The following is a 27,822-nucleotide window of genomic DNA, read 5'->3' as shown; positions in this document are numbered from 1 at the left end:
TTCTGAAAGCAATGTGAAAATGTCTTTATCTTCTTTTGGAAATAGATTGCTAATAATAATACATTAAAGAATAGCCCATTCTATTTCCAGGACCAGAAAGCTGTTGTGCTGGATTTGGTTCTTTCATAGGGATTGTCTCCTTGTTTCAGTTGGACAATTGATATAAGAGAACTAGAGGCAAAAATATAAATTTAGGACTAAATACAAGCTAATCTCTGTGTTCACTTCGATCATTAGTCAACCTAAAACAACTGATTAATTGACTATAACTCAGCACAGCCACTAGCATTAATAGTCTTGAAAGTTTGGGACATAATTGGATATCTGTCTGAAGACAGGTAGTCAGATAAATAACTTGGAATTGACTTCTAGCCTAGAGAGGCATATTTCAATTCTAAATGTCTTACTTAGAGACATGTCACACAAAGGGAGGAATGTAGAACAATAAGCATAGTACTATGGCTTAAAAATCAAGAGACCAAAATCAGTTCCCTGCAAATTACTTTCCATCTCGGATCCTCTCCATTAAATGGAAAAATCATTTTTAAAAATCCCTATACAGAAATGCAGTTGGTTTAAGAAGAAAAAAAAGTGCATAGATAGATGGAGAAAGAGATCCTTCTTTAACATCTGGGTTCCTTGGCCCTCCCTGAAATATTTCCCCTTGAGCTTTTATTTGAGTGTACTATGAAACCTGCAAAACAATAAAGCCTGTGATCCCTTAATATTCACAAAGAATTGCTAAGTATAACCTCTCCAGAAACATTTTACATAATTAACTCTGTCCTTAAACGGAAGGAGAAACCAGAAGGTAGTTAGTTCCCAAGCACCTAAATATGAGAGAAGGACTTTCAGCTTCAGTTTTATGCTTTTGATAGACAAATATGAGAAGTATAATCATGCATAACTTAACAATGGGGGATGCATTCTGAGAAATGCTTTGTTAGACAATTTTGTGTTGTGTTAACATCAGAGAGTGTACTTACACAAACCTAGGTGGTTTCGCCTGCTTCATACCTAGGCCATATGGTGTAGCCTAGGCCGTATGGTGTAGCCTAGGCTATATGGTGTAGCCTAGGTTTGCAGCAGGCAAAACCATCCAAGTATGTGTAAGTACACTCTATGTATGTAGCCTCCAAGCTACAAACCTGTACAACATGGGACTGTACTAAATACTGGAGGCAACTGTTACACAAGGGTATTTATGTATCTAAACATAGAAAAGGTACAGTAAAAATACAGTATTATAATCTGTTATAATGTATGTGGTTTGTCATTGACCTAAACATCATTGTGTGGCACATGACTGTACTTCTTCCAGTTTAAAAGAGGAAGTGAGAAATTTTCCAGTTTAAGTATTTAGCAATAGTCATGTGGTTCCAGATGCAAGACAGAACCCTTTTGTAGCTGAACCTGGTAGGGAGGGAGAGGGGTTGAAGAATGGCTGGAAGGCAAGATACCTGGCACCTTTTTGAGAAGCTTGAATTCATTCCTTCAGGACTTTCACAAGAAGGAGAAATGGACCTGAGTCTAGAAAACCTGCAGCTAAAGACAAGTTACCAAAAATGCTAACCTTGAAGTTTAAATTTGGATTAGGGGTTATCAAAGACAACATTCTAATTAGGGTATAGGTGTAAAATTTGGATTTGTTGTTCAGATTCTAGTAGAGAATTAATCAAAGTTTGTTCCAGAGTCTTTATTTTTGAACGTGGTATTTAACAGTCTGTTCTGGTTAAAAGTTTACAAACTAAGTCTGAGGGAAACCAGTGAGCTCTAACCAAATCTCAGGAACAGCATGCACCTCGATGTTGTGACCTTTGTAATATACAATGAATGCCAGACACCTAGTAATCTTGTACGTAAAATGTAGAGAAATTCACTAAGGGGCAGAATTTAAATTCTTATGTACTAAAACTACAAAGCAAAAGCCACCAAAGTTACGTCCTGCAGTAGTGTGCTTATAATCAGTTGCATCTCTGGTACCCACAGCTCAGTGGCCCTGTGGCTTTGTGAGGGAGAACCTCTTGCTGAATTTACTTAGGCTTGAAGTATCGATTTCTACCCCCCTCCCCAAGGGTTCCCCCCCTCCATGGGTCCCCACCTCCCCATGGGCCTCCCCTTCCCCATGGGTCCCCCCCCTCCCCATGGGTCCGTCTGTGCTTACCGCGAATGATGATTGGTCCCTTTGCTCTTACCATGCTTATCGTCGTTTCCCTTGTTTCCCCTAGTTGGTCATTATTAATATAAGGTAAATGTCTTTTCTTTCAGTCCTCCTCGCCCTCTGACTAATATGAATGACACCATGGTTAGCCACATGTCCTCTGGAGTGCCCACTCCCACCAAGAGGTACGTATGTCTTGTGCCTTCGACTTGGGTGTTGGCCTCTGCTACTGATTTGCGATGCCCCTGCCAGAAATGAGGCCTGAAAAGCAGGTTGTTCCACAGGGCAGAAAGGACTGGTTTGCTTTCTCTTCCTTTGACCGTCTTTTAGTCTTAATTTCTACTTTTTATTTTCCTTTTTTCCCCCACCGACTCACAAATATAGCAACTGAAGTTTGGCTTTCAGTGGTGCCTCAGGTGGAAACTTCATTTGTGACAAGCAGTGGTGGCAGTGTCAGAGCAGATTAGGCACGTTTCAGATCCGTTTTTTTAACCTTAAACAATATTTTGGTAGTCGTGAGTTTCAACAGTTTTGCCTTTGAATTCTTTGTCAAAGATCATTTTTGCTCTTTGATTAGACTGTGTAAATTGAATTAATCCCTTATAAAATTTTCTCCTGAATCATTCTGTGTATGATTTATAAACATTTAAGTTGGAAAGCCTGAGTCTCTCTCTTTTGGTTATGCAAGGAGTTTGCTTTAGGGGCCTTCAAGGAATGAGAACTGTGTACTTCTTTCTCCTCTTTATTTAATTTGCTCTTCTCCAAAAATTCTCTCAGGCAGGACTTAAAAGAACTATATAAAATGGCTTTCTATTTGGTATAAGCTGTTCCATGACCCAGAGCAATGCAAAAACTCCCTCAAGGGCATGGCCATTAAAGAATTCTTTCTAACAGTCATCACTCAGAAACAAGAAAACCACAAAGACATTCCAGCCCACCCCCTAGTCCTTCCTGGAAAAAAATACATTTTGTGCCATATGTACCGATTGCTTTGGATTAATTCAGCTATAGAAATGCTATAGAAATTTTGACTATATAATACATAGTGCTTAAGACAATGATGTTTGTTCCCATTGGCTAAAACTCCTACGTCAGTGTTTATCAAACCTGACTGATGAGAAGAATCACCTGGGTCACTTGTTGAAAACAGATTTCTGGGACAACATCAGACCCAGTGAACTGGAATTTCTGAAGATAGGATCTTGAGAAGCTACATTTTTATTCCAGCTGATTCTTATCATCAAGCAAGTTTGGGCAATAGCCTGACAAGGAAGCTAACGAGTAAAGTGTAGGACTACCCTGAAGAGAGAAGTTAGGGACTTAATAAATCAGAGTGGCCTGATAACACATTACCCGCATGGAGACTCAGGACCTGACCAGGTAAGAGTACTTGCCTTTAGCCTTGCTAGGGCACTTTCCAGCAGCAAGAGAGTCAGGCCACTGCTTCTGGACAGAGCTGAGTGGTACAGGGCACCAGAGCATGGACTCTTGAGCCAGACTCTTTCTGAGTTGGAATCTGGCTCTTTGCTTACCTTGAAATGTTCTTGTCTTCATTTTTTTTTTTTTTTTAAATTTGGAGACACTGTCTCTGTCTGTCACCCAGGCTGGAGTGCAGTGGCCCAATCTTAGCTCACTGCAACCTCCACCTCCCAGGTTCAAGCGATTCTCCTGCCTCAGCCTCCCGACTAGCTGGAATTACAGGCACCTGCCACCATACCTAGCTAATTTTTGTATTTTTTTTTTTCAGTAGAGATTGGGTTTCACCATGTTGGCCAAGCTGGTCTCAAACTCCTGATCTCAAGTGATCCAACTGCCTCAGACTCCCAAAGTGCTGGATTACGGGCACGAGCCACCATACCTGGCCTTGTTTTCAATTTTTTATCTCTAAAATGGGGACAAAAATAATATCTACCTTTTGGGGTTTATGTGAGAATTTAATGTATTATTTTTATGACTTAGGAAATAAACTGGAATGTGAGAATAAGTGAGGAAGAGACAGAATAATTTACCAGCAATGCCCTCTCAAGCAGGAAAGGAATTTTTATGGACGAATACAAAGCAATTAAGCCTGTCCCACCTACCTAGATATTACGATAACCCTTGCTGTCCTTGGACTTCAGTTTTTTATGTTTAACACCCATAGCATTCAAACCCAGACTCCAGATCAAAGATGTTTCCGTTTCAAAACCAGGCAGATAAGGTGGCCGATTCAAAGAATTCAGGTCATAGTTTTCCTGTTAATTATAAGAATACCATCTCATTCAGTAGCATTTCCCATCTGAATTCTTCTCATCATTTACTAGTTCTGTCACGCTAAGTCACCCGAGTACATGAGGGCGACCACAGCTGAATGTGGCTGCTAGAGGCTATTAGAAGGAGCATGGCTTTCTGGACAGTGTTTTATTGCTTGAAAAAACTAAAAGAAGGGAGCAGTAATAATCATAGCCACCTCTGTAGAGGCCTACCCCTCAGGCTTGCTGTGTTACACCTGCAGGCTTTATTGTAAGTAGCCAGCTGTGATTGCCAGTCACAAAATGATACCTGTCATTTTTGAAAGCTGCTTCAGATAATCTATAGCCTGGATTAAGATTTCATCTTAAAGTCAGTGTTTAGCCACTCTTTCTGGTGGAATTAGCCCACCCTAGAGGTGGTTATCGTAAACTTTGCAAGGGCTGACCAGCAGACCAAAGGCAGCCAGAGGGCAGACCAGAGAAGAAGGTTGAGCTCCGATTGATTAAGAAGCACAATTACTTGAGTAGCGGCTCCATAGGAACAAAATGCTCCTACCCTACCATTACAGCCCCCAGGATTTTAGGGGATTCCATTTATATTCAGTATGAGATTGTGATATACCATGTGGATACTAATTACCTAATTCATAGACTTGGCTTTTCATGGCCCCAGTAATCAAATAGTATAAATTTCCAGGTAGTATTCTACTTGTTTCCTTAATGACTCCTCAGCTTTTCTTCCCTCCTCTGAATGTGGACAGACCTGTGTGGCCAGAGAGTCTAACGGAAGCCAGGAGCCCAGCACGTCTTGCCAGCCACAGAGCCTTACTCTGCCCAGACAGGAATGCTCGCGGAGATAGAGCAGCTACTCTCCAGAATAAGAGGTTTCTTTTAGAACTCATCCTAAGACGTCAATCACTGAATGAGACAACAACATGCACAGTGATAAAAATGCAGGAAAAATTTTAAGTGCTCTAGTTCCTACCTTTTTAATAGGCAGTGCATATAAAAATAGTGATAATCACAGTGGCCAAAAGTAATGCTGTTAGTCCAAATAAAAGATGATCTGAATGTAAGCTTTACTTTTCACAGAAGACCTTATAAATGGCAGAGATGATGACTGTCATGTGAGATAACCATAAATTATGTTCCCGAGAGGTTCTACTGTAGGGATTTGCCCTCCCTAATAATCTTTTAATATCCCTAAATTGATATCTTATAACTGAAAAGAAATTTTGTCTGCCTTAGGCTAAATACTTCCTTGAAATTTACTTTCTTTTAAAAGCGTCCACATAGTACATTTAAAAGCAAACAAGAAAAAACTTTTCAAGGCTTTAAAACATAGGCTTAAAATACCCCTCCCCTGTCCAATTTCCTAGGAGGCCCGCGTCTAGACCTCTTTTTCCCCAAGGTTCAGAATGTGAATTGTGTTCTTATGCTGCGTACTGTTCTGTTATTTTAAGTCAACTTATATTCAGACAAATATGGAAAATGATGCTAATTTTTTTTATTTTTAAATGTCTTCTAAAGCTTTAGCTGTGTTTATGGATACTTAAAGCTTAACAATTCTGTGGGAATTTCATAGAACTGTGGAAGTAACAAAAGCCTTCAGTATGCAACTTTGTGCTTTGTGCGTTCAGTTGGTATATTAATATTATGTCTCCTTTAGTTCCAAGTATTAAAATCGAACCTTAAAAGGCAAAACCCACAAAGCAAAGGCAAAAAGCAGAAAGGGAAGGGCAGAAGAGTACACAGATCACAAAAGCAGCTGGAATGCCCCCAGGCGGCCCTCCTTCTCCGAGCTGCCTCTCTCCGTGTGCCATCTTCGCTCCCCGCCACTGCAGAACAGCTGCTCCCAAGCTGCCGATGGTTGCAGACACACACCTCCCTACAGCCTTGCCCCTCCAGGGGTTGTGCTTTTCCTCCTTTGGATTAGAAAAACGCAAGGAAGGATTCTTGTGTCCTGGATTGCGTTGCTGTCCATCCTTGTGTGTATGTGAGGGACCATGCCCGTTAGACCTATGGCATCAGAGCAGAGGAAGAAGCATTTCCCCCAAAGAAGAGTATACTGCCAAGAAAAGAAGAGAGAGAGGAGGCTGAGGTAGGAGGATCGCTTGATCCCAGGAATTTGAGGCTGCAGTGAGCTATGATCATGCCGTGAATAGCCACTGCACTCCAGCCTCAGCAACATAGCGAGACTCTGTCTCTAAAAAAAAAAGAAGAAGAAGAAGAGAGAGAGATCCTGGGAAAGAAAAATAACTGAGACTGTTAGCAGACCATGGTTTTCCTACCTAGCACATAGCTGTGTGCACACATGCACACACACAAGCCTTCCCGTACACATTTCCACGTCCAGAATTTTCCTTCTTCACATAAGGCAGCCATCCATGTACAACTGCCGACGCTCTCGCACTTTTCCCAGGAGTCTTAGCCACCTCCTGTGAAAGGGACGAGGTCCAGGGTATCCAATTTATACCCAGTCATCTGGACCAGGCCTGGGTATCTCCTTTTGTGATTCATTAACCCATTAAACCATGAACCAAATGATGCATTTTAAACACTCACACACACAGTATACAAAAGTAAAGATCTCCAAATAGGATAATTGCAATTTAGAGACTTAGGGAAAAGGAAAGTAACAGATAGCATGGCATATTAAGTCACATTTGCCTGTTTCGTCCTGAAACACCACTAAAATGACAGCCAAGAGGTTTCTTTTTTTTTTTTTTTTTAAAGTAAAAACTCACAAGAACAAAGAAAAAGAAGAGAAACAATAGCAACAAAATTTTGGTAGCAGCCAAGCAAATGGATGAGTGGTAACGAACTTAACAGAGAAAAACTAAAACGTAGGCTAAAAGTAAGACAAGCCCAGAAGAAAGCCAACCCTAGGAATTAGAACGCTCTGGAAACGCAGATTCAGAATGATTGGCTCATAGTCCCTGGAAAAGGTAGAGGTACTCAGGAATTACAGCTATGGGCTTCTCTTTTGGGTGGCTTCTGAAAAAAACTGTGTTATGTATTATATCACACCTCCTTTTGCATAGATGTGTTTTAGAAGAGGTCTTTTTTCCCTAACACTTCACTTTTATTTCTCCCAACAAATAATATTCTCTCAAAAATAGAAATAATTATTTCTATTCTGTTTTGTTCAGTTGTTGATGATGTATTGACTTGGGACATAATACCATCTTTGGATGGGAAATGGTAAATATTAGAGCCTATAATCCTGAGTAGTCCTAATTGCTAGCACTTTTAGGTAAAGGCGAGATTTTATCATAGCATATTTACTTTAATTTATACTTCATAAAAAAGAAAAGCAGTTTTTGAAGATCAGAAGATGCCACAGTATAAATATTATTTCTGAACTGTAAAAACATGGCCAAATTAAGAGATGAGTTAATATAATAGTACACGCATACCTCAGAGACACGGCAGGTTTGGTCCCAGACCACCGCAATAAAGTGTATATTGTAATCAAGTGACTTATACAAACTTTTAAATTTCCCAGTACATATAAAAGTTTTGCTTACACTATACTATAGCCTCATAAGTGTGCAATAGCAGTATATATTTTAAAAGTATGTACCTTAATTTTAAAATTATCTAATTGCTAAAAAATGCTAATGATCATCTGAGACTTCAGCAAGTTCTAGTCTTTTTGCTGGTAGAGAGTCTTGCCTCAATGCTGATGGCTGCTGACTAAGCAGGATGGTGGTTGCTGAAGACTGGGATAGCTGTAGCAAATTCTTAAAATAAGACAACAATGAAGTTTGCCCCCTTAATGGACTCTCCCATTTGTGGAAGATTTCTCTGTGGCATGTGATGCTGTTTGATAGCATTTTACCCACAGTAGAACTTCTTTCAAAACTGTAGTCAGTCCTCTCATACCCTGCCACTGCTTTGTCAACTAAGTTTATATAATATTCTAAATCCTTGTCATTTCAGTGATGTTCACAGCATCTTAACCAGTAGATTCCATCTCAAGAAACCCCTTTCTTTGCTTATCCGTAAGAAGCAACTCCTTACCTTTTCAAGTTTTATTATGAGATTGCAGCAATTCAGTCACACCTTCAGGCTTCACACCTAATTCTAGTTCTCTTGTTTTTTTCTACCACATCTTCAGTTACTTCCTCTACTGAAGTCTTGAACCCCTAGAATTCCATGAGGGTTGGAATCAATTTCTTCCAAACTCCCATTAATGTTTGTTTTAACCTCCTCCCATGAATCACAAATGTTTTTAATAGCATCTAGAATGATGAATCCATTACAGAGGTTTTCAATTTACTTTGTCCAGACTCCATCAGAGGAACCACTCTATCTATGGCAGCTATAGTCTTACAAAATGTATTTCTTACATAATAAGACTTGAAAGTCAAAATTATTTCTTGGCTGGGTGTGGTGGCCTATAACCCCAGCACTTTGGGAGGCCGAGGCAGGTGGATCACCTGAGGTCAGGAGTTCCAGACCAGCCTGGCCAACATGGTGAAACCCTGCCTCTACTAAAACTACAAAAATTAGCTTGGCATGGTGGCACCTGCCTGTAATCCCAGCCACTTGGGAGGCTGAGGCAGGAGAATTACTTGAACCCGGGAGGTGGAGGTTGCAGTGAGCCGAGATTGTGCCATTGCACTCCAGCCTAGGTGACAAGAGCGAAACTACTTCTCAAAAAAAAAAAAAAAAAAAATTACTTCTTGATCCAGGGGCTGCAGGATGGATGTTGTGTTAGCAGGTGTGAAAGCAACATTCATCTCCTTGTACATCTTCTTCAGAGCTCTTAGGAGCCACATGCATTGTCAATGAATGAGCAGTACTGTTTTGAAAGCAATCTTTTTTTCTGAACAGTAGGTCTCAACAGTAGGCTTAAAATATTCATTAAACCGTGCTGTAAACAGATGTGCTGTCATCCGGGCTTTATTCTTCCTTTTATGGAGTGCAGGCAAGGTAAATTTAGCATAATTCTGAAAGGCCCTAAAATTTTCAGAATGGTAAATGAGCATTGGCTTCAAGTTAAAGTCACCAGCTGCATTAGCCCCAGCAAGAGAATCAGCCTGTCCTTTTGAAGCTTTAAAGCCAGGCATTGACTTCTTCTCTCTAGCTATGAAAGCCCTAGATGGCATCTTCTTCCGATAGAAGCCGGTTTCATCTCATCAAAAATCTGCAGTTTTTGTGTAGCTGCTTTCGTCAATGATCTGAGCTAGATCTTCTGGACAACTTGCTGCAGCTTCTCCATCAGCACTTGCTGCTTCACCTCACACCTGCATGTTATGGAGATGGTTCTTTCCTTAAACCTCATGAACCAACCTCTGTTAGCTTCCAGCTCTTCTTCTGCAACTTGCTCACCTCTCTCAGCCTTCATAGAATTGAAGAGAGTTAGGGCCTTCCTGGATGAGACTTTGGCTTAAGGGAATGTTGCGGCTGATTTGATCTTCTATCCAGACCACTAAAACTACATCAGCAATGAGGCTGTTTTGCTTTCTTCTCATTTCTGTGTACAGTGGAGTACCACTTTTAATTTCCTTCAAGAGCTTTCCTTTGCATTCATAGCTTGACTGTTTGGCACAAGAGGCCTTGCTGTCAGCCTGTGTTGGCTTTCGACATGCTTTCCTCACTAAGCTTAATCATTTGTAGCTTTTGATTTAAAATAAGAGATATGCAACTCTTCCTTTCACTTGAGCACTTAGACATCATAATAGGGTTATGAACTGGCCTAATTTCAATATTTTTATGTCTTAGGGAATAGGGAGGCCTGAGAAGAGAGAGAGAGAGATGGTCAGTGAAACGGTCAGAACACATATTGATTGATTAAGTTGGCTATCTTATGTGGGCATGGTTTGTGGCACTCCAAAACAATTACAATAGTAACACCAAAGATGACTGATCACAGATCACCATAACCGATATGATGATAATAATGGAGAAGTTTGAAGCATTGCCAGAATTACCAAAATGTGGCACAGAGACACCAAGTGAGCACATGCTGTTGGAAAAAATGGCACCAGTGGCCTTGCTCAACTCAGGGTTGCCACAAATGTTCAATTTGTAAAAAGCACAGTATCTGTGAAGCATGATAAAGCAAAGCACAATAAAACAATGTGTGCCTGTATTAAAATGGCTTTCTGACTGGGTGACAAGGTAAAGAGTTTATCTTATTATCTATAGAATATAGCAGAATGACAAAAATCACTATGTTTTTGTTTTTTTAAGACCAAGGACAATAGAGATGTTGGGGGAAACTAAGAAAAGGAATAAAACAAAAGTGATCAAGTCAGAAACTATCCATATGTGGACTCAGTGCATGGATTCTCTTCCCACCTGTGAAATGAGAAAAATAGAGTTTGTTTGAAAAGCAAGAATTAATGATAGTTTCAGGAAACAACTAGCATGTATGAAGTCTTTGTGAGAATTTCACCAAGTCAACACAAGAATAGTTTTTTCTCCAGCGTTTTTTTTTTTTTTAAGACAGAAAAGCAGAGTAATTGAAAATTAACACATAATCTTAGAGAACTGCAGGGTCCTTAGTGTTGGCAGGTGTCCAGAGCCTGTCTGACAGCCTGGGCAGACCGCCAGTTTTCAGCTGCTTCTGGGTTGGGATTAGATTCCATTTCCACTCAAGCATTTAAGGTAAGCCTTTCACCAGTTCTAACTCAGATTAGTACAAACAGAAAGTTTGAGTATTTCCAAGTCCATACTTAAATACCTTAGTTTGAAAAATAGAAGCTGACAGAAGCATAATAACTAATAGTTTGTTTCTTCTTCGCGTTGGACTGAGGCTTGAGGTCCTGAGCGTGACCAAGCGTCACATCCGTCATAGACCATCGGCAGAGCCGACTGGAAGGAGCAAGTTTGGGGAAAAAGATCTCAAGTGCAATGTTGTCGTGTTCAGATTGAGATGCTTGTGGGATGCTGGGAGTGAAGACAAGCTTTGTAAATTTTGGATGTGGGTGGGGCGAGGAAAAGTGAGGATCGTTTTCAGATTTCTCCCTGGCTTGAATTAAGGTCCCTTTGGTCAAAACACTGGAGGAAGATTTGTGCCAGAAGAACAAGGTTGGGAACCAGACCATCGTTTTTGTCATCCAGATTCTTCCAGCGAATCTCACACCAGCAAAGGAGATACAAATACTTAGAGCCAACAAATGACCAGTAGAACCTGACATGCATACATGCGCACACACCCCTTTTCTCTCTAGCAGCCCCCACACATACTCTCTTCCTCTCTTACTATGTAATGTCTCTGTCTGTCTCTCTTTCTGATACACACATGAACACACACATGCTTTTAAAAAACACATTTTTACACACACATGCTTTGGGGCTTTTCACTGAAATATGTTTTGACCTTATCTCCTAAGAAGCTGACTCATTGTAGTTGCTTCCATCAAGTGATGGTGATGGGCCATAGCCTGGCACACAGAACAAACATTTCCAAATGCTGAAATTCCCGTGCTGATCCAGCCTAGACCTACTATGTTTAACCAGAGATTTTTTTTCACTCCTCTTAATACCAAACTAGTAAAATATTTCAGCTCACTTCAGCTAGTAAAGCAAACACTTAAAGCAAATCAGTGCTGTGGTACAGTTCTCAACTTTTTCATGGATCTTATTGGGGAATCTCCAGTCTACTCCCCACTTTACCCCCAATTTAGTCTTTTCTTTGCAGCTGCAGGGGTTTTTCTGAAATGCGAATCTGATTATGTTATTCTTCCGATTGAAACTTGCCAGTGGATCTTCTTTGCTGCAGCACTGTCTGGTAGCGTGGAAGTGTTCTGTGCTAACCAGTATGGGAGCCAACTAGCCACATGTGTCTGTCGAGTACTTGAGATGTGACAGAGAAAATGAATTGTTAATTATTTATTTATTTATTTAGGGATGGAGTTTCACTCTTGTCACCCAGGCGCTAGGGTGCAGTGGCACAATCTTGGCTCACTGCAACCTCTGCTTCCTGGGTTCAAGCAATTCTCCTGCCTCATCCTCCTGAGTAGCTGTGACTACAGGCGTGTGCCACCACACCCAGCTAATTTTTCTATTTTTAGTAGAGATGGGGTTTTACCATGTTGGCCAGGGTGGTCTTGAACTCCTGACCTCAGGTGATCTACCTACCTCGGCCTCCAAAAGTGCTGGGATTACAGGCATGAGCCACTGCACCCGGCCTAATTTTATTTAATTGGAGTGAATTGGAATTTAAAATAGCCATAGGTAGCTGATGGCCACACAGTTCTACAAGCTAAAACCCCCATTCTTCAGTGTGGCTTACAAGGCCCTTGTTTCTGAGCTGACCCTTGCCAGCCCTTCCAGCCCTACCTCGTCCCACTCTCTCTTCTCAGCATCCATACTCAGAAGCACTTGGACCTCTCACAATGCCCCAGGCAGGTGGCTGCATATGCCACTTCTCCCTGAAGGACCTCCCCATCCTTTTCACCTTTGTTCTCTCTTCTTTGTCATCTAATTCTTCCTTCTCATCTTAGCTTTGACTCCTCCAATAAGCCTTCCGTAACACCCTAAAACTATATTATGTGATCTTCTGTGAGCCGCAGCGTCTGGTACATATCATAGTATCGTAGTAGCTGTGTGTTCGATGCCTTTCTAGACTACAAGCTCTTTGAGGGTGTAGACTCCCCAGGCTTGGGCCAAAAACAAATTCCGTCTCTCAAAATCTTCTTGCTGCTGCTTGCCCCTTAATTAGTACTTCCTCTGCTAGGAAAGGGATTTTCTTTTTCAGTTATTTCAAATAAATCACATAGTACTGCCTGCTTATTCCATTCAGAGCAGGGAAATTAAAAAGAAAGGTATTATTCCTCTATTTTATACATATTATGTGTAAATATAATATTACATTGCGTTTCACATGACTAACTAGTAGGAAGGTTAACCGATTACTAGAATTTTATGTACATTAAACCCAAGCATTGATTGATAGCGGGTCCTTAACCTCATTGAGCTTATTTACTCAGGAGAAAACATAAATGGGGGGGTGGGGAGGGAAGAAAGTGGAAGGACTAGATATGTTTTCTTGTTCAATATGACATTTATTTGGTAAAGATTTTTGATGCAGGCCAGATGCGGTGGCTCACGCCTGTAATCCCAGCACTTTGGGAGGTCGAGGCAGGTGGATCTGGATTGCTTGAGGCCAGAAGTTTGAGACCAACCTGGCCAACATAGCGAAACCCTGTCTCAACGAAAAATACAAAAATTAGCCGGGCTTTGTGGTGCACACCTGTAGTCCCAGCTACTCAGGAGGCTGAGGTAGGAGAATTGCTTGAACCTGGGAGACGGAGGTTTCAGTGAGCAATTGAGATTGGGCCGCTGCACTCCAGCCTGAGCAACAGAGTGAGTGAGACTCCGTCTCGGGAAAAAAAAAAAAAAAAGATTTTTCATGCACTTCGTGTTGGGAAAGAGGTCATTTGACAAATTTAGATAGCATCACGACTGCTACTTCATCAAGACGAGACCCCGCTGGGTAGATAAGCACAGGAAAGGTGAGTAGTGGTGAACAGTTCTTAGAGAGCCCCATGTCACTCCAGGTCCTTCATTCTGTCCATAACCTGGCTGTGCCAGAGAACCTATAGAGCCTGGCATGTCATTGGGCTTGTTTGTCTCTCTCACACGCCCTCATGGGACAGTACTATTTTTTCTCATTAGCTTGTAATACAGCGAAGGCACACACTATTTTCTTTCCCCTAAACAGAGTTGATTGCATCAAGCCACAACCTATGAGACAGTGAGCTGTTGGAAGGATGTTGTACTTCCTTGCCCTTTGTGGCTAAAGTCCTTTGAGGAGAGATAATCCAGATGGGGAGTGTCCTTACATTCTATAAATCCATCTCTTCCACGCTAGTGCCTTGACATTGTGTATTTTTTTTTAGTGACAGAGGAGAAAAGGAACTTAATTTGCTGAGAATTATTTATGGTGTGCTGAAGGATCACATTAGAGAAGAGTAACATTGCTTGCCCCATGGATCTGAGAGTCTCAGTCAGGCATTTAGAGTACTGTTATACTGATATAACAGCAGGCATGTGTTTACATTGCTATAACAGGACACAGCTTTACATACTGTGATCCAAAATTGTTGTCTTCAGGCCGGGTGCAGTGGCTCACACCTGTAATCCTGGCACTTTGGGAGGCCAAGGCGGGTGGATCACCTGAGGTCAGGAGTTCAAGACTGGCCTGTCCAAAATGGTGAAACCCCATCTCTACTAAAAATACAAAAAATTAGCTGGGTGTGGTGGTGGATGCCTGTAATCCCAGCTACTTGGGAGACCGAGGCAGGAGAATTGCCTGAACCTGGGAGGCAGAGGTTGCAGTGAGCTGAGATCACACCACTGCACTCCAGCCTGGGCACAACAGAGCAAGTCTCTGTCTCAAAAAAAAAAAAAAAAAAAAAATTGTCGTGTAAGAATCTACTCTGAAATGTGCTACTTTCAGTGCTAATCCCTAGCCTGCATCCACTTACCTAGGGTTTCCTTACTAAAGTCACTGATTATTCTGGGTGTTCGGGTTTTCACTGGAATATTTTTTTGTACGTCTTCCTCCTGCTTTGGTGGTTCCTACAGATTTCTCCCATCATGACAGAACTACTGATATTTCTTCACACTTCAGGACTTTCCAGAGTCAGAGAATTGTCTTACAATTTACTGTTAGAATCAGCTGGCCTTGTGCATTTATTGTGGAGGACACAGAAATGCTTTTCTGAGCTTCTCACTCAGCATTTCTCATAGAGCTTCCATGTAGGATCTTTCTTGGGGCGATCTGGTCTCTTTGAAGTTGTGGAGGCCAGGCTATGTGAAAGGTGACAGTGGTCGTTTCTTCTCCTAGCCTTAAATTTTAGCAGATGATATTGCACGGCCTCCTCACTGAGTTTCTTGCCTTCTCTTTTGCCTCACTCTGGTCTGCTTTTTACACTGCAGGTAGTCATTTCTCCAAAGCACTGTCTAATCATGACAGTCCCCTGCTTAAAACTCAGGAGCATCTCATTGTGCCTTAGAGAAACACCAGTTCTTTAACATGGCTTGGGACTGGGCGCAGTGGCTCACACCTGTAATGCCAGCACTTTGGGAGGCCAGACAGATCACTTGAGGTCAGGAGTTTGAGACCAGCCTGGCCAACATGATGAAAGCCCATCTGTACTAAAAATAGGAAAAATCAGCTGGGCGTGGTGGTAAGTGCCTATAGTCCCAGCTCCTCAGGATGCTGAGGCACAAGAATCACTTGAACCCAGGAGGCGGAGGTTGCAGTGAGCTGAGATCACACCACTGCACTCCAGCCTGTGTGACAAGAGTGAGACTCCATCTCAAATAAGTAAGTGAATGAATGAATGAATGAATAGGCTTGGGCAACCCTTCATGGTGCCCAGCCTGTCTCCCCAGCCTCATTTTCCAATGCTCTCCCCTACTCTTCAAGCTGGGACTCTTCAGTACCTGGAGTATGCTGTAAATTCTCTCACCTGCACTTTTGCACATACCCTTCCCTCTGCCCGGCACCCTCTTTATCCAACATCTTCACCTAGCCAACCCTGTTTATCACCCAAGTTTCAACTTTGATGTCACTTTCTGAGGGAGGACTTTTCTGATCTCCTGGACTAGGTCAAATATTCTATATATGATCTCCGCAAACATCCTTTTATAACATTCCCTACCCTTATAAATACTTGATTAATGTCAGTATTTCAGTATTCCTCTCAAGGCTGGGCACTTCACAAGGATGGAGCTACATTTGTTTATCACCGTAGTTCCAGTACTGATGTAGATCTGGCACATAGATACTCGGTAAATATATTGAAAACTCAGTACAACTAAATATTTACTATTTGGCCACTCTGTGTCATGCAATTCAGTTTTGTCCCCCAATCACAATTCCAACTGTGACTACATTGAACTTGATGCATTTATAGCTTATATTTGTAGGATAAGTCATTATCCTATTTTCTGACCTTATAGGTAAACACTTTAGAGTTTATATCTGTTTTCTAAAATAACCACATATTAGGGACCCTGTCATTGACCAAGAACACACAAAAAGTGCTTTCATGAGCCCCGAAGACAGAAGGCAAGGCAAGAGCATTGTTCCGAAACAGATTTCTAGTGTTCATGTCTAGCAGCTTCTTTATTTTGCACTTGACCCTGATTTAACTTGTTACTCCTGGCTTATTTCTTAAACTTGGCTTTATAAACTCGTGTTGACCCCTTGTCAGACTCCAAAGGGGCCAGTTTCTTGCTGTGGTTCTCTTTGGACTCCCGTCCTTGCGCTTTGGCCCTCGGTCGTTTTGTAGACTTACATACTACCTTCAAACTCAGACCCAGTGGAGGAGCAGCTGAAATCCATGTGGCCACTGTTCCAACATGGACAGTTCAGACAAGCATATTGCAGCCTGGAATGGTCCTGTTAGATTAGGAGCACCCTGGAGTTGATCCTGGGCTGGAAGGTTTGCCAGGAAGCAAAGTATGTTTGTTCCAGAGTTGCTTTTCCTGGGAGCTTCATCCTGTTATGACAACTTGGAATGGTGCAGCTATCTTCCTTAGTTTCTCACCTTCATAGCAATGAATCCCTAGGCTACCTAAAACTTACCTAAGGCATAGTAGGGTTCGAGAGCCACTTTGGAATCAAAACAGACTTATGGTTGTAAGCCACTTTAGTTCCTAACATCCAACTAAATTCAAGAATATAAGACAAAGACTCCCGAACTCCTCTCAGATATTGGCATGTGCACAGGTATATAACTGACCTCAGAACACTTCCCAGCCACCACATGGTACACACAAGGGCAGCGGTTGGCAAACTACAGCTTGTGCCAACTCCTGCCCTTGTGTATACCATGTGTATACTTGTTTTGTAAATAAAGTTTTATTGGAACATACTTGTTTATATATTGGCTATAGCTGCTTCCCCTACCATGGCAGACTGAGTAGCTGCAACAGAAACCTTATGGCCTACAAAGCCTAAAATATTTACTATCGGACCCTTTGAGAACAATAAGCATTTCATCTTGTCTTGGATTTAGAATAAGGATGTTAAAAAGAAGAGATGCAGCTCTATATACAATTTTTTTTTATTACTTAGACTCAGAATTTCAGAGCTGATAAAAGGTACTTTATAAGTCAGCATGTTGTGGTCCATTACTGGACTCAACATAGGTAATGAAATATGATTACAAGGCTGGGCGCTAGTGGCTCACACCTCTAATCCCAGCACTTTGGGAGGTCAGGGTGGGAGGATCACTTGAGGCTAGGAGTTCAAGACCAGTATGGGCAACACAGCAAGACCACATATTTACAAAGAATTTTTTTCTTTACCTGTCTGGGCCTGATGTTACCCGCCTGTAGTCCCAGCTACTCTAGAGACTGAGGTGCAAGGATTGCTTGAGCCCAGGAGTTTGAGGCTGCAGTGAGTTGTGATCATACCACTGCACTCCAGCCTAGGTGACAGAGTGAGACTCTGTCTCAAAAAAAAAAAAAAAAAGAAAGAAAGAAAACAAAGATTACATCAAATTTAGTAGGCCTTTACATCTTCTTCATTCGTAGTATAGTAGCAGTAGTCAAAGGTACAAATGTTGGCCCCTTTGAAATTTAGAATAACAAATATGGAGATGAATCTCTATTCTCTCACTTCAACTTGCCCAAGGGCTTGATTATTGGGAAGATGAATGTGGCTTAGTGTTTGAGTTCCCATGAAATTAAAAGAGTATAATACACTTATTCAGAGAGGAGCTGGTAATTAGTAACTGGTAGAAGGACTATCTCCATCAAGGAAGATAATATTAGTAAATAATTGTCCTACCAACACTCAACCAGTACATTAGAGATCACTTTGACGGAACTCTTTCACGCTTTTAACCTTCTTCAGAGATGACTTCCTTAAAGGTCTAACACTTTGAAACATGGTCGCCAGAATTACTCTCATTGTTTGAGGAGAAACAACAGCGTTCGGAAAAAAATTATCTTAAAATCCATTATAACAACTCTTTGTAATATTCCCCAAATTCTGTATTTTCACCTACGTTACATATATAAAAATTTAGGTGCCATAAGAAAATGTCACTGAACTCTGCCTGTCAATTCAAGAACAGAAATTCAATCTAAACTTCTGCCCCAAATTGTGTATTTCCCAAATGTGGATCAACTCCCTGGTCACAAACACACTGTAACTGCTCTTGCAATGACAGCCACCTCAGCGCAGCACTCGCCTGGCTGAGTGACTCGGCCACAGGAGCTCCCCTGCGTTCTCTAACACGGCACTTGGTGTTTACTCCTGCCCTTTGCTGCTGTCAACTCCATTTCACTTTAAGCTTGGTGTGGCAGAGAGAGTATGAGCTCTGAAGTCACCTAGGCCTGGGTTCAGGGTCAAGCTTTGTCACTTACCTGTTGACAGAATTATTGAGTTAACTCTTTACACTTAAGTACTTCTTTCTTTTTGTTTGTTTGTTTGAGACATAGTCTTGCTCTGTTGCCCAGGCTGGAGTACAGTGGCACAATCTCGCCTCACTGCAAACTCTGCCTCCCAGGTTCAAGCGATTCTCTGCCTCAGCTTCCCAAGTAGCTGGGATTACAGGCACGCACCACTACGCCCAGCTAATTTTTGTATTTTTTAGTAGAGACAGGGTTTCACTATATGTTGGCCAGGCTGATCTCGAACTCCTGACCTCAGGTGGTCTACTCCTTAGCCTCCCAAAGTGCTGGGATTACAAGCGTGAGCCACCACACCCGGCCTTAAGTACTTCTTTAGAAGTAACTGATTATTTCATCTTTAGGCTAATTCATTAGTTCAGCAAATATTTGCTGAGCACCTGATATGTGCGAGGCACTGTTTCAGGAGGTGCCTGGTGATTTAGCTGTGTAAAAATAGGTCTCTGCTTTTATGTAGCTGCTGTTCTAGCAAAGAAGACAGAAAAATATTGTTTTATAATATAATAAAGAATAGTGGTAAATGCTGTGCAGAAAAATAGAGAGTGAATGGGGCAGAGAGTTTCAGGTTTTAGATTGGATGATCAGGGAAGGACCCTCCGGAGAGACGACTTTGATCAGGAATCTGAATGATGTGAGGAGGAAAGAGGGCCATGCCGGCATCTCAGGGAAGATTGTTCCAGGCAGAGGGAATGGGGAGGATAAAGGTCCCATGGTGGGAAGGTACTGGGTGTTTTCTGGAATAGTGGAAAGGTCAGCACGGCTGAAGCGCGGTGAGCAGAGGGCCGAGCGTAGAAAACCAGCTGGAGAGGCAGCAAGGGGCCAGATCACACAGGGGAGATGGGATTTGATTTTTAAAAAGCATTTTTAATAAGATTTATTATAGAATAGTTTTAGGCTTAAAGAAAAGTTGCAAAAGTAGTACAGTAAGTTCCCATATACATACCCCTTCCTTTGTTTCTTTTCTTTCTTTTTTTTTTTTTGAGACGGAGTCTCGCTCTGTCGCCCAGGCTGGAATGCAGTGGCTCGATCTCAGCTCACTGCAAGCTCTGCCTCCCAGGTTCACCCCATTCTCCTGCCTCAGCCTCCTGAGTAGCTGGGACTACAGGCGCCCGCCACCACGCCCGGCTAATTTTTTGTGTTTTTAGTAGAGACAGGGTTTCACTGTGTTAGCCAGGATGGTCTCAAACTCCTGACCTCAGGTGATCCACCTGCCTGGGTCTCCCAAAGTGCTGGGATTACAGGTATGAGCCACCGCACCCGGCCCTGTTTCTTCTAATATTGCTAACTTATGTTGCCTGGGTGCATGTGTCACAACTAAGAAATAATACCCATACACTACTGTGAATTAAGTTCCAGACTTTATTCCTGTTTCACTAGTTTATCCACTCATGCCCTTTCTCTGTTCTGGGATGCCACATCTCATTTAGTCATCCTGTCTCCCTGGCTCCTTCTGTTCTGTGAGTTTCTTAGTCTTCCCTTATTTTTCATGACCTTGGCAGTTTTGAGGAGTACTGGTCAGATATTTTGCAGAATGTCCTTCATGGTTTTCTCATGATTACACTGTGATTATGGGTTTAGGGGAAGAAGAACACAGAGGCAAGTGCCCTTCTCACTGCATCATAGAGAACCTGCTGTCAGCATGACTTCTCGCTGCTGATGGGAATCTTGGTCTCCTGTCCAAAGCATCATTGACAAGGTTTCTCACTCTTTTCCTACTCTGTTCTTTGGAAATCCCTAAGCATGGTTCATACTCAAGGGCAGGGGTGAGGAATTAAGCTCTACTCGCCTGGAGAGGGAAGTATCTACACCCTCTGTATATCTCCCATTTGTTGATTTAATCATTTATTTATATCAGTGTGGACTCATGGATGTTTATTTTATGCTTTGGGTTATAACCCAATACTGTTTAATACATTATTTATTTTGTTGCTCAAATTGTTCCAACTCTGGCTAGTGGGAGCTCTTTCTGGTTGGGTCCTGTGTCCCTTTGACATGCTGCCTTTTGTTTTTTAAGCACTTACTTAGGTTGTGGCATTACAACATGCTCCAGGCTCATCTTGTATTCCCTGCCCCAGCCCTAGAATTGCATTTTCCTAGGGAGCCCTGGCTCCTTTATTAGAGAATGGTATTAGAAATCAGTGTGTACAGGCTGGGCACGATAGCTCATGCCTGTAATCCCAACACTTTGGGAGGCCAAGGCGGGCAGATCACCTGAGGTCAGGAGTTCGAGACCAGCCTGGCCAACATGGCGAAACCCCAACTCTACTAAAAATTATTTAAAAATTAGCTGGGCTTGGTGGTGCGCACCTGTAGTCCCAGCTACTTGGGAGGCTGAGGCACGAGAATCGTTTTAACCGAGGAGGCAGAGGTTGCAGTGAGCCGAGATTGCGCCACTGCACTCCAGTGCAGCCTGGGCAACAGAGCCCAGGCTCTGTTGAGGAGGAAAAAATAAAAGAAATCAGTATGCGTATATGCACATGCCTGTAATTATTTCTCTATCCATCTGTATCTGCATTAAGGTATTTGTGAGTTACGCTGAAGTATCTGACTCTAATCCAGTACCACGGGGTTTCCTCTAGCTGTCCCCACCTTGGTTGTCTGTAACTTCCCTCTCCAGGGGTGAGACACCTGGCTCCCATCATCTACCATCCATTGACTTATTCGTTCCGTGCCTGCAGCACGTGTAGCAGTTTCAGAATTATTAGTTAGGACCCTTGATTTGTTTTTTAAACAGATTTATTGAGATATAACTCACACACTGTACAATTCATCCATTCAAGATGTACAATTCAGTGGTTTTTAGTGTATGCACTGAGTTGTGCAGCCACTACTGAAATCAGTTTTAGAACATTTTCATCACCCCAAACTGACAAGGCCACTCATTGCAGCGTGGAGAATCAACTGTAGAGTGTATGAGCAGAAGAGTGCACAGTCAAGAGGCTATTGGGGCAGTGTAAGCGAGAACTCCTAAGAAGTTGCTCAGGAGAAGTCATGGCGGCAGTGGAGGTGATGAGAAAATAAGAGCCATCAGGACTTGCAGTGGATTGGATGTGTGTTCAAGGAAAAGAGAGAAATTAAAAAGACCCCTCTGGTTTTGGCCTGATGGCTGGGTATAGTGATGCCATTTATTTAAGCTGGTCAGTCTGGGGAAGAGCAGGTGAGGAGGTGGGGTGGAAAGAATCAAGAGTTCTATTTTGAGCATATTAGGTTTGAAATGCCCATTGGGCACCCAAGGGGAGGTGTTGAGTAGACCATCAATTACATGATTCTGGAGCTCGAGGGAGAGGTCAGGGCTGGAAATGTAAAATCATGAGTGTTACCATAATCCCTTTCTTGTAAGAGTGTTCTGAGTAGGCCGGGCGCGGTGGCTCACGCCTGTAATCCCAGCACTTTGGGAGGCCGAGGCGGGTGGATCACGAGGTCAGCAGATCGAGACCATCCCGGCTAAAATGGTGAAACCCCGTCTCTACTAAAAATACAAAAAATTAGCCGGGCGTGGTGGCGGGCGCCTGTAGTCCCAGCTACTTGGGAGGCTGAGGCAGGAGAATGGCGTGAACCCGGGAGGCGGAGCTTGCAGTGAGCCGAGATCCCGCCACTGCACTCCAGTCTGGGCGACAGAGCGAGACTCCGTCTCAAAAAAAAAAAAAGAGTGTTCTGAGTATAAACAAGAGAAGATATATAAGAGTATCTGATAGGTCACAAGTACCTTGTTGCTAATGACTATGACAACATATGTGCCAGATGCTTTTTGACATTATTTTATCCAATCTTCCCAACAGTCTACAAAATAAATATCTTATGAGGTAGATTTTATATTATTATTATTTTACAGATGAGGGGACTAAGCATAGAGAAGTTATTGTCCAACTGGATTAAAAACCAAAGCCCATGCTCTCAATTGCTGTATTCCACTGCCTCCTGCTTGGTACATAATTGTTACCATTGGCTCCAGGCTGCTCCTCTACACCCAGCCTCAGGACAAGGTCAGGGGCTTGTCCTGCCTCTGACCTTGTCCCGCTATTGCTCACTCTTCATCCCCACTTCCCCCATTTCAGTCCCGTCCCCTTGCTCCCTGTCCCTACAGATGTGCCTCCTGATGGCTTGCCTGCTACCACTAGAAATTCTGCTGACATCACGAGATATTATCACCATCTCTTAGAGAGCAGTTCTCACACTGGAATGCAGCTAGCGCACCTGCAAACTTGTTCTAAATGCAGATTCCCAGGCTGCGTTCCCCGATTGATTGAGCAGAAGCCTGGGAGTTCTAAAGGAGGTAGTCAGGGGAAACATATCTTTAGAAATGCTGCTTTAGACTCTACCAGTCCCATTCAAGACCCTCTGTCCTCAGCTCTGGTCATCATTAGCATTGGCTTAGAGCTAGGGGATGCCTTGGGAATGTGCCGATCACGGAGCCTCACGGAGTGTTCATCTTATTGTCACTCCTCATTTTAGCTCTGTGGTCGTTGTACTGACCTTTGCTTTTGCTGATCTCCCTGATTGGATAAAATTGTATTGTGTCCTCTCAGAGGAGGACAGTGTCCCCGCTCATCAAAACACTTACTACATTTGCAAGTTTACGTTTATTGGTGTGGTCATTTCTTTTCCTACTGGAGTGTTGTTAGCAGCAGCCATGTCTGGGTTTTGTTTACTGTGGTGTCTTCATCACTGGATACCTAGTAGGTGCTCCGTACATTGTTTCAGGTGCTCAATTTCCATCAGTAATGCTGTTAGAACTATTGGGTATTTAGGCATCACCTCGTTTTATGGATTGAATTGACATTTGACAGTTTAGGAATTCTTGTTTTTATAGGAAAAAAATCTGAATTGTAAACTATTGACTCTGCTTTGGAAAAACAAATTTCTGAAACAAACCTTGTTTGTTAGTTGGGGGTTATATATATGTTGCATATTTATGTATATATGTATATTTATATTTTATCAAAAAGGAAAGAGTTTAAATTTTCTTAATCTGGTAAACTAGGTACAACTTTGAATGGGGGAAGAACATTACACCCCACACCCCAAACAAAATTATCAGAAAATTCATGGTCATTTAACTTCCTTATCTAACTACTAAGAATGCTTTTCATTGTGTTCCAGATCTCTAATTATATGACAAACAATACTGGTTCTGAATAGAAGTCTTCCTATAGGCCAGGCCTGGTGGCTCACGCCTGTAATCCCAACACTTTGGGAGACCAAGGCGGGCGGATCACCTAAGGTCGGGAGTACAAGACCAGCCTGGCCAACATGGCAAAACCCCATCTCTACTAAAAATACAAAAATTAGCTGGGCGTGGTGGCACACACCTGTAGTCCCAGCTGCTCAGGAGGCTGAGGCAAGAGAATTGCTTGAACCCAGGAGGCAGAGGTTGTAGTGAGCCTCTGCAGTGATCACACCACTGCAATGCAGCCTGGGTGACAGAGTGAGACTCCGTCTCAAAAAAAAAAAAACAAAAAACCTTTCTTGGCCTCAGTTCCCTTTCTAGGTACCCTCTATATCTCTCCTTCCCATTTCAGAAAAACTTCTTTAAAGGGTTATCTGTAGAAAGAAACTTCAATTTCTGTTCTGCCATTTCCTTTCAAACACACCCAGTCAGACTTTCACCTCCTGTTATTTTGCCAAAACTATTTATGTCAAGCACACTGGTGACTTCTAAACCACAGAATCCAGTGGTCAGTTTTCAGTAGTTAACCTTACTTGATCTGTCAGTAGCGTTTGACATAGATCTCTCCTTTCTACTTGAAACGCCTGTTGCACGTGGCCTCCGGATATCATGCTCTCCTAGTTTTTCTCATTTCTTCTTGGCCTCCTTTGCAAGTTTTTCCACACTCCTTTGAAATCCGAATGGTAGTGTGTGACAGGGACCACTTCTCTTTTCTGTCTTCACTCACTGGTAGTAGGCAGCTGTAGCCAGACTCATACTTTTTATAACACTGATAATATTGGTGACTTCTAAATGTATTTTTCTGGCCACAGCTTTTCCCTGAGCCCTTACCTCGTATATCCACCTCCTGATGAGTACCTTCGCTTGGATATTTAATACATATCTCATAATTAGCATGTTCCAAACTGAGTTCTCTATCATCCCCCACCAGACCTACTTCTCCCTTAGCCTTCCCCATCAGTTCATGACAATCCCATTTTCCCAGTTGCTCATTCAGAACCCTTGATTCCTCTCATTCCCTTACATCCATCTCCACTTCCTGACTATGAGATCAACTGTATACAAAAACACCATGGAAATTTGTTCAAGATTCTGTTATTTCTTACGACCTCTGTTAAATGCTGTTTTCCTAGCCCACTCTTGTCTCTCACCTGGAAGATTGCAGTTGTTTTCTAATTGACTGCATCTTCCCCTGTTCTCTAGCAGTTTACTTTCTAGAGAGGAAATATCTTTTAATTTTTTTTAGAAACGAGGGTCTTGCTATGTTGCCCAAGCTGTTCTCTTAACTCCTGGGCTCAAGTGATCCTCCCACCTCGTCCTCCCAACGTGCTGGGATTACAGACATAAGCCACCACACCCGGCCTAATGATCTTATTAAAATATAAATAATATCAGGGCCGGGTGCGGTGATTCACACCTGTAATCCCAGCACTTTGGGAGGCCTAGGTGGGTGGATCACTTGAAGTCAGGAGTTCAAGACCATCCTGGCCACCATGGCAAAACCCTGTCTCTACTAAAAATACAAAAATTAGCTGGGCATGGTGGTACACGCCTGTAATCCCAGTTACTCAGGAGGCTGAGGCAGGAGAATCACTTGAACCCAGGAGGCTGAGGTTGCAGTGAGCCAAGGTCACGCCACTGCGCTCCAGCCTGGGCAACAGAGCGAGACTCCATCTCAAGAAATAAAATAAATAAAATAAAACCATATGTCACCTCTCAATAGCTTCTCATATCAGAGTAAAAGCTAAAATACTTATAATGGCCTACAAGAGAGTTGAAAGGGATAACGTCCGAAATGAAAAATTCAATGGATGGACTTACACTGAACTTAAAGACACGGTAATACTAATTACCCAGAGTGGAGCACCGAGAGGAAAATGACTGAAAACGAACTGAGCCTCTGGGACCTGTGGGATAATGTCAGGCAGTCTAACAGACGAGAGGGAGAAAAAATATTTAAGAAACATTTTTTCCCAACTTTTCAAAGAAATTTTTACATATTCATTAAAAACTATAAACCTACAAATACTTATAAACACAACAAACTGTATGCCAGGATAAACAAAGAGAAAACTATACCAAGGCACATCAGAATCAAATTGCTGAAAATCAGTGATGAATAAAACATTTAAAAAGCAGCTAGAGAAAAAAAAAAAAGACATATTACATACCTGAACCCAAGAGTTCAAGAACAGCCTGGGCAACAAAGTGAGACCCTGTCTCTACAAAAGATTTAAAAATTAGAGCTGGGCATGGTGGCTCATGCCTGTAATCCCAGCACTTTGGGAGGCCGAGGCAGGCGGATCACGAGGTCGGGAGATCGAGACCATCCTGGCTAACACGGTGAAACCCCGTCTCTACTAAAAATACAAAAAAGTTGGCCAGCCTTGGTGGCGGGCACCTGTAGTCCCAGTTAATCAGGAGGCTGAGGCAGGAGAATGGCGTGAACCCGGGAGGTAGAGCTTGCAGTGAACAGAGATTGCACCACTGCACTCCAGCCTGGGCGACAGAGCAAGACTCCATCTCAAAAATAAATAAATAAATAAATAAATATTAGCCGGGTGTGGGGGTACACACCTGTAGCCCCAGCTACTCTGGAGACTGAGGCAGGAGGATTGCTTCAGCCCAGGAGGTTGAGGCTGCATTGATCCATGATTGCACCATGGCACTCCAGCCTGGGTGACAGAGCAAGACCCTGCCTAAAAAAAAGACATGTTACGTACCAGGAAACAAAGATAAGAACAACTGTTGATTTCTCTCTCTCTTTTTTTTTTTTTAACTGTTGATTTCTCATTAACCCTTTTCCCATTTAGAAAAAAAGTACGGCTCGCTGCCAGTGCTCCTTTAATTTTACATAAACACGCTCTTTAAGGCTGAAGCAAAGCTGACTGATTTTCAATGTGAAAATAAAATACACAAACTGTTTTTGTAGTTATTTCTAAACAGAACTAACATCAGAATCATCTGAGTCATCAGAATCATCTATTTCGGAAAAAATTGATTCATTAAATGAATCTTCAGCCAGCCGTTTGAGAACGATGTTAATAATTAACATCAGCCAGGCATGGTGGCTCACACCTGTAATCCCAGCACTTTGGGAGGCAGAGGTGGGTGGATCACAAGGTCAAGAGATCGAGACCATCCTGGCCAACATGGTGAAACCTCATCTCTACTAAAAATACAAAAAATTAGCTGAGCATGGTGGCGTGCACCTGTAGTTCCAGCTACTTGGGAGGCTGAGGCAGGAGGATGGCTTGAACCCGGGAGGCAGAGGTTGCAGTGAGCTGAGATCACGCCACTGCACTCTAGCCTGGTGACAGAGTAATACTCTGTCTCAAAAAATAATAATAATAATTAACATCATGCACAGGAATGCTACGCTTTCTAAGCTTTGGCATTTTCAGCAATCAAGAATTACAGTATTTTGTAAATGGAAATACCACTACTAAGAATAGAATGCTATAAATAGAATGATGTCTTTTCTTTCCAAAGTCCGTGTACTAGAGTGATGAGAGAATAATAATAAAAGCGAGATATTTCATGGGAAAGTTATCTCAGGGTAAATGCTGTATCTGCAAGCGCTGCCAGTGAGTATTCTCGGGACAAATGGGAAAAGGATTAAAAGCAATGCAAGCCAGAAGAAAATGGAACGGTACCTTGAAAGCACTGAGAGGACTTATTTTTCTTCATTCTAAAATATACAGATTTTCTAGCTTTTTCCACTGAGAAGGCCTAGAATCGGTGAGCCTAGAACAGTGGGCACCCTAGCATCCTGACTGCAGTCTCTAAATACTCTTTGCCAGTAAACGGAACGAGGGATCCTTAGAAGGATGGTTCATTCCAAGTCTGGGACAGGATATATAACAAAC

At 42.4% G+C, this 27,822-nt stretch overlaps 1 protein-coding gene across 30 annotated transcripts in view; it reads left to right on the top strand.

Annotated features, from left to right (window-relative positions):
- The window catches only part of DTNB (dystrobrevin beta), a 296,335-nt gene that overhangs the window by 188,436 nt on the left and 80,077 nt on the right, over positions 1-27,822 (top strand). For 29 of the 30 annotated variants that reach the window (NR_147180.2, NM_001320935.2, NM_001351393.2 and 26 more), the window contains one exon: positions 2,269-2,346. Coding sequence is in view for 29 of the 30 variants with exons in the window: in NM_001320935.2 (NP_001307864.1) it covers positions 2,269-2,346 (78 nt within the window). In the remaining variant the exon portion in view is untranslated. Of the gene's footprint in view, positions 1-2,268; positions 2,347-3,908; positions 5,277-27,822 lie in introns of all 30 variants that reach the window. The other variant, NM_001351395.2, reaches the window with a different exon arrangement.

Source organism: Homo sapiens, chromosome 2 (assembly GCF_000001405.40).
Source record: "Homo sapiens chromosome 2, GRCh38.p14 Primary Assembly".
Taxonomy (NCBI): domain Eukaryota; kingdom Metazoa; phylum Chordata; class Mammalia; order Primates; family Hominidae; genus Homo; species Homo sapiens.
Note: the sequence above shows the minus strand (reverse complement) of the source record. Positions and strands in the feature narration are given on the sequence as shown.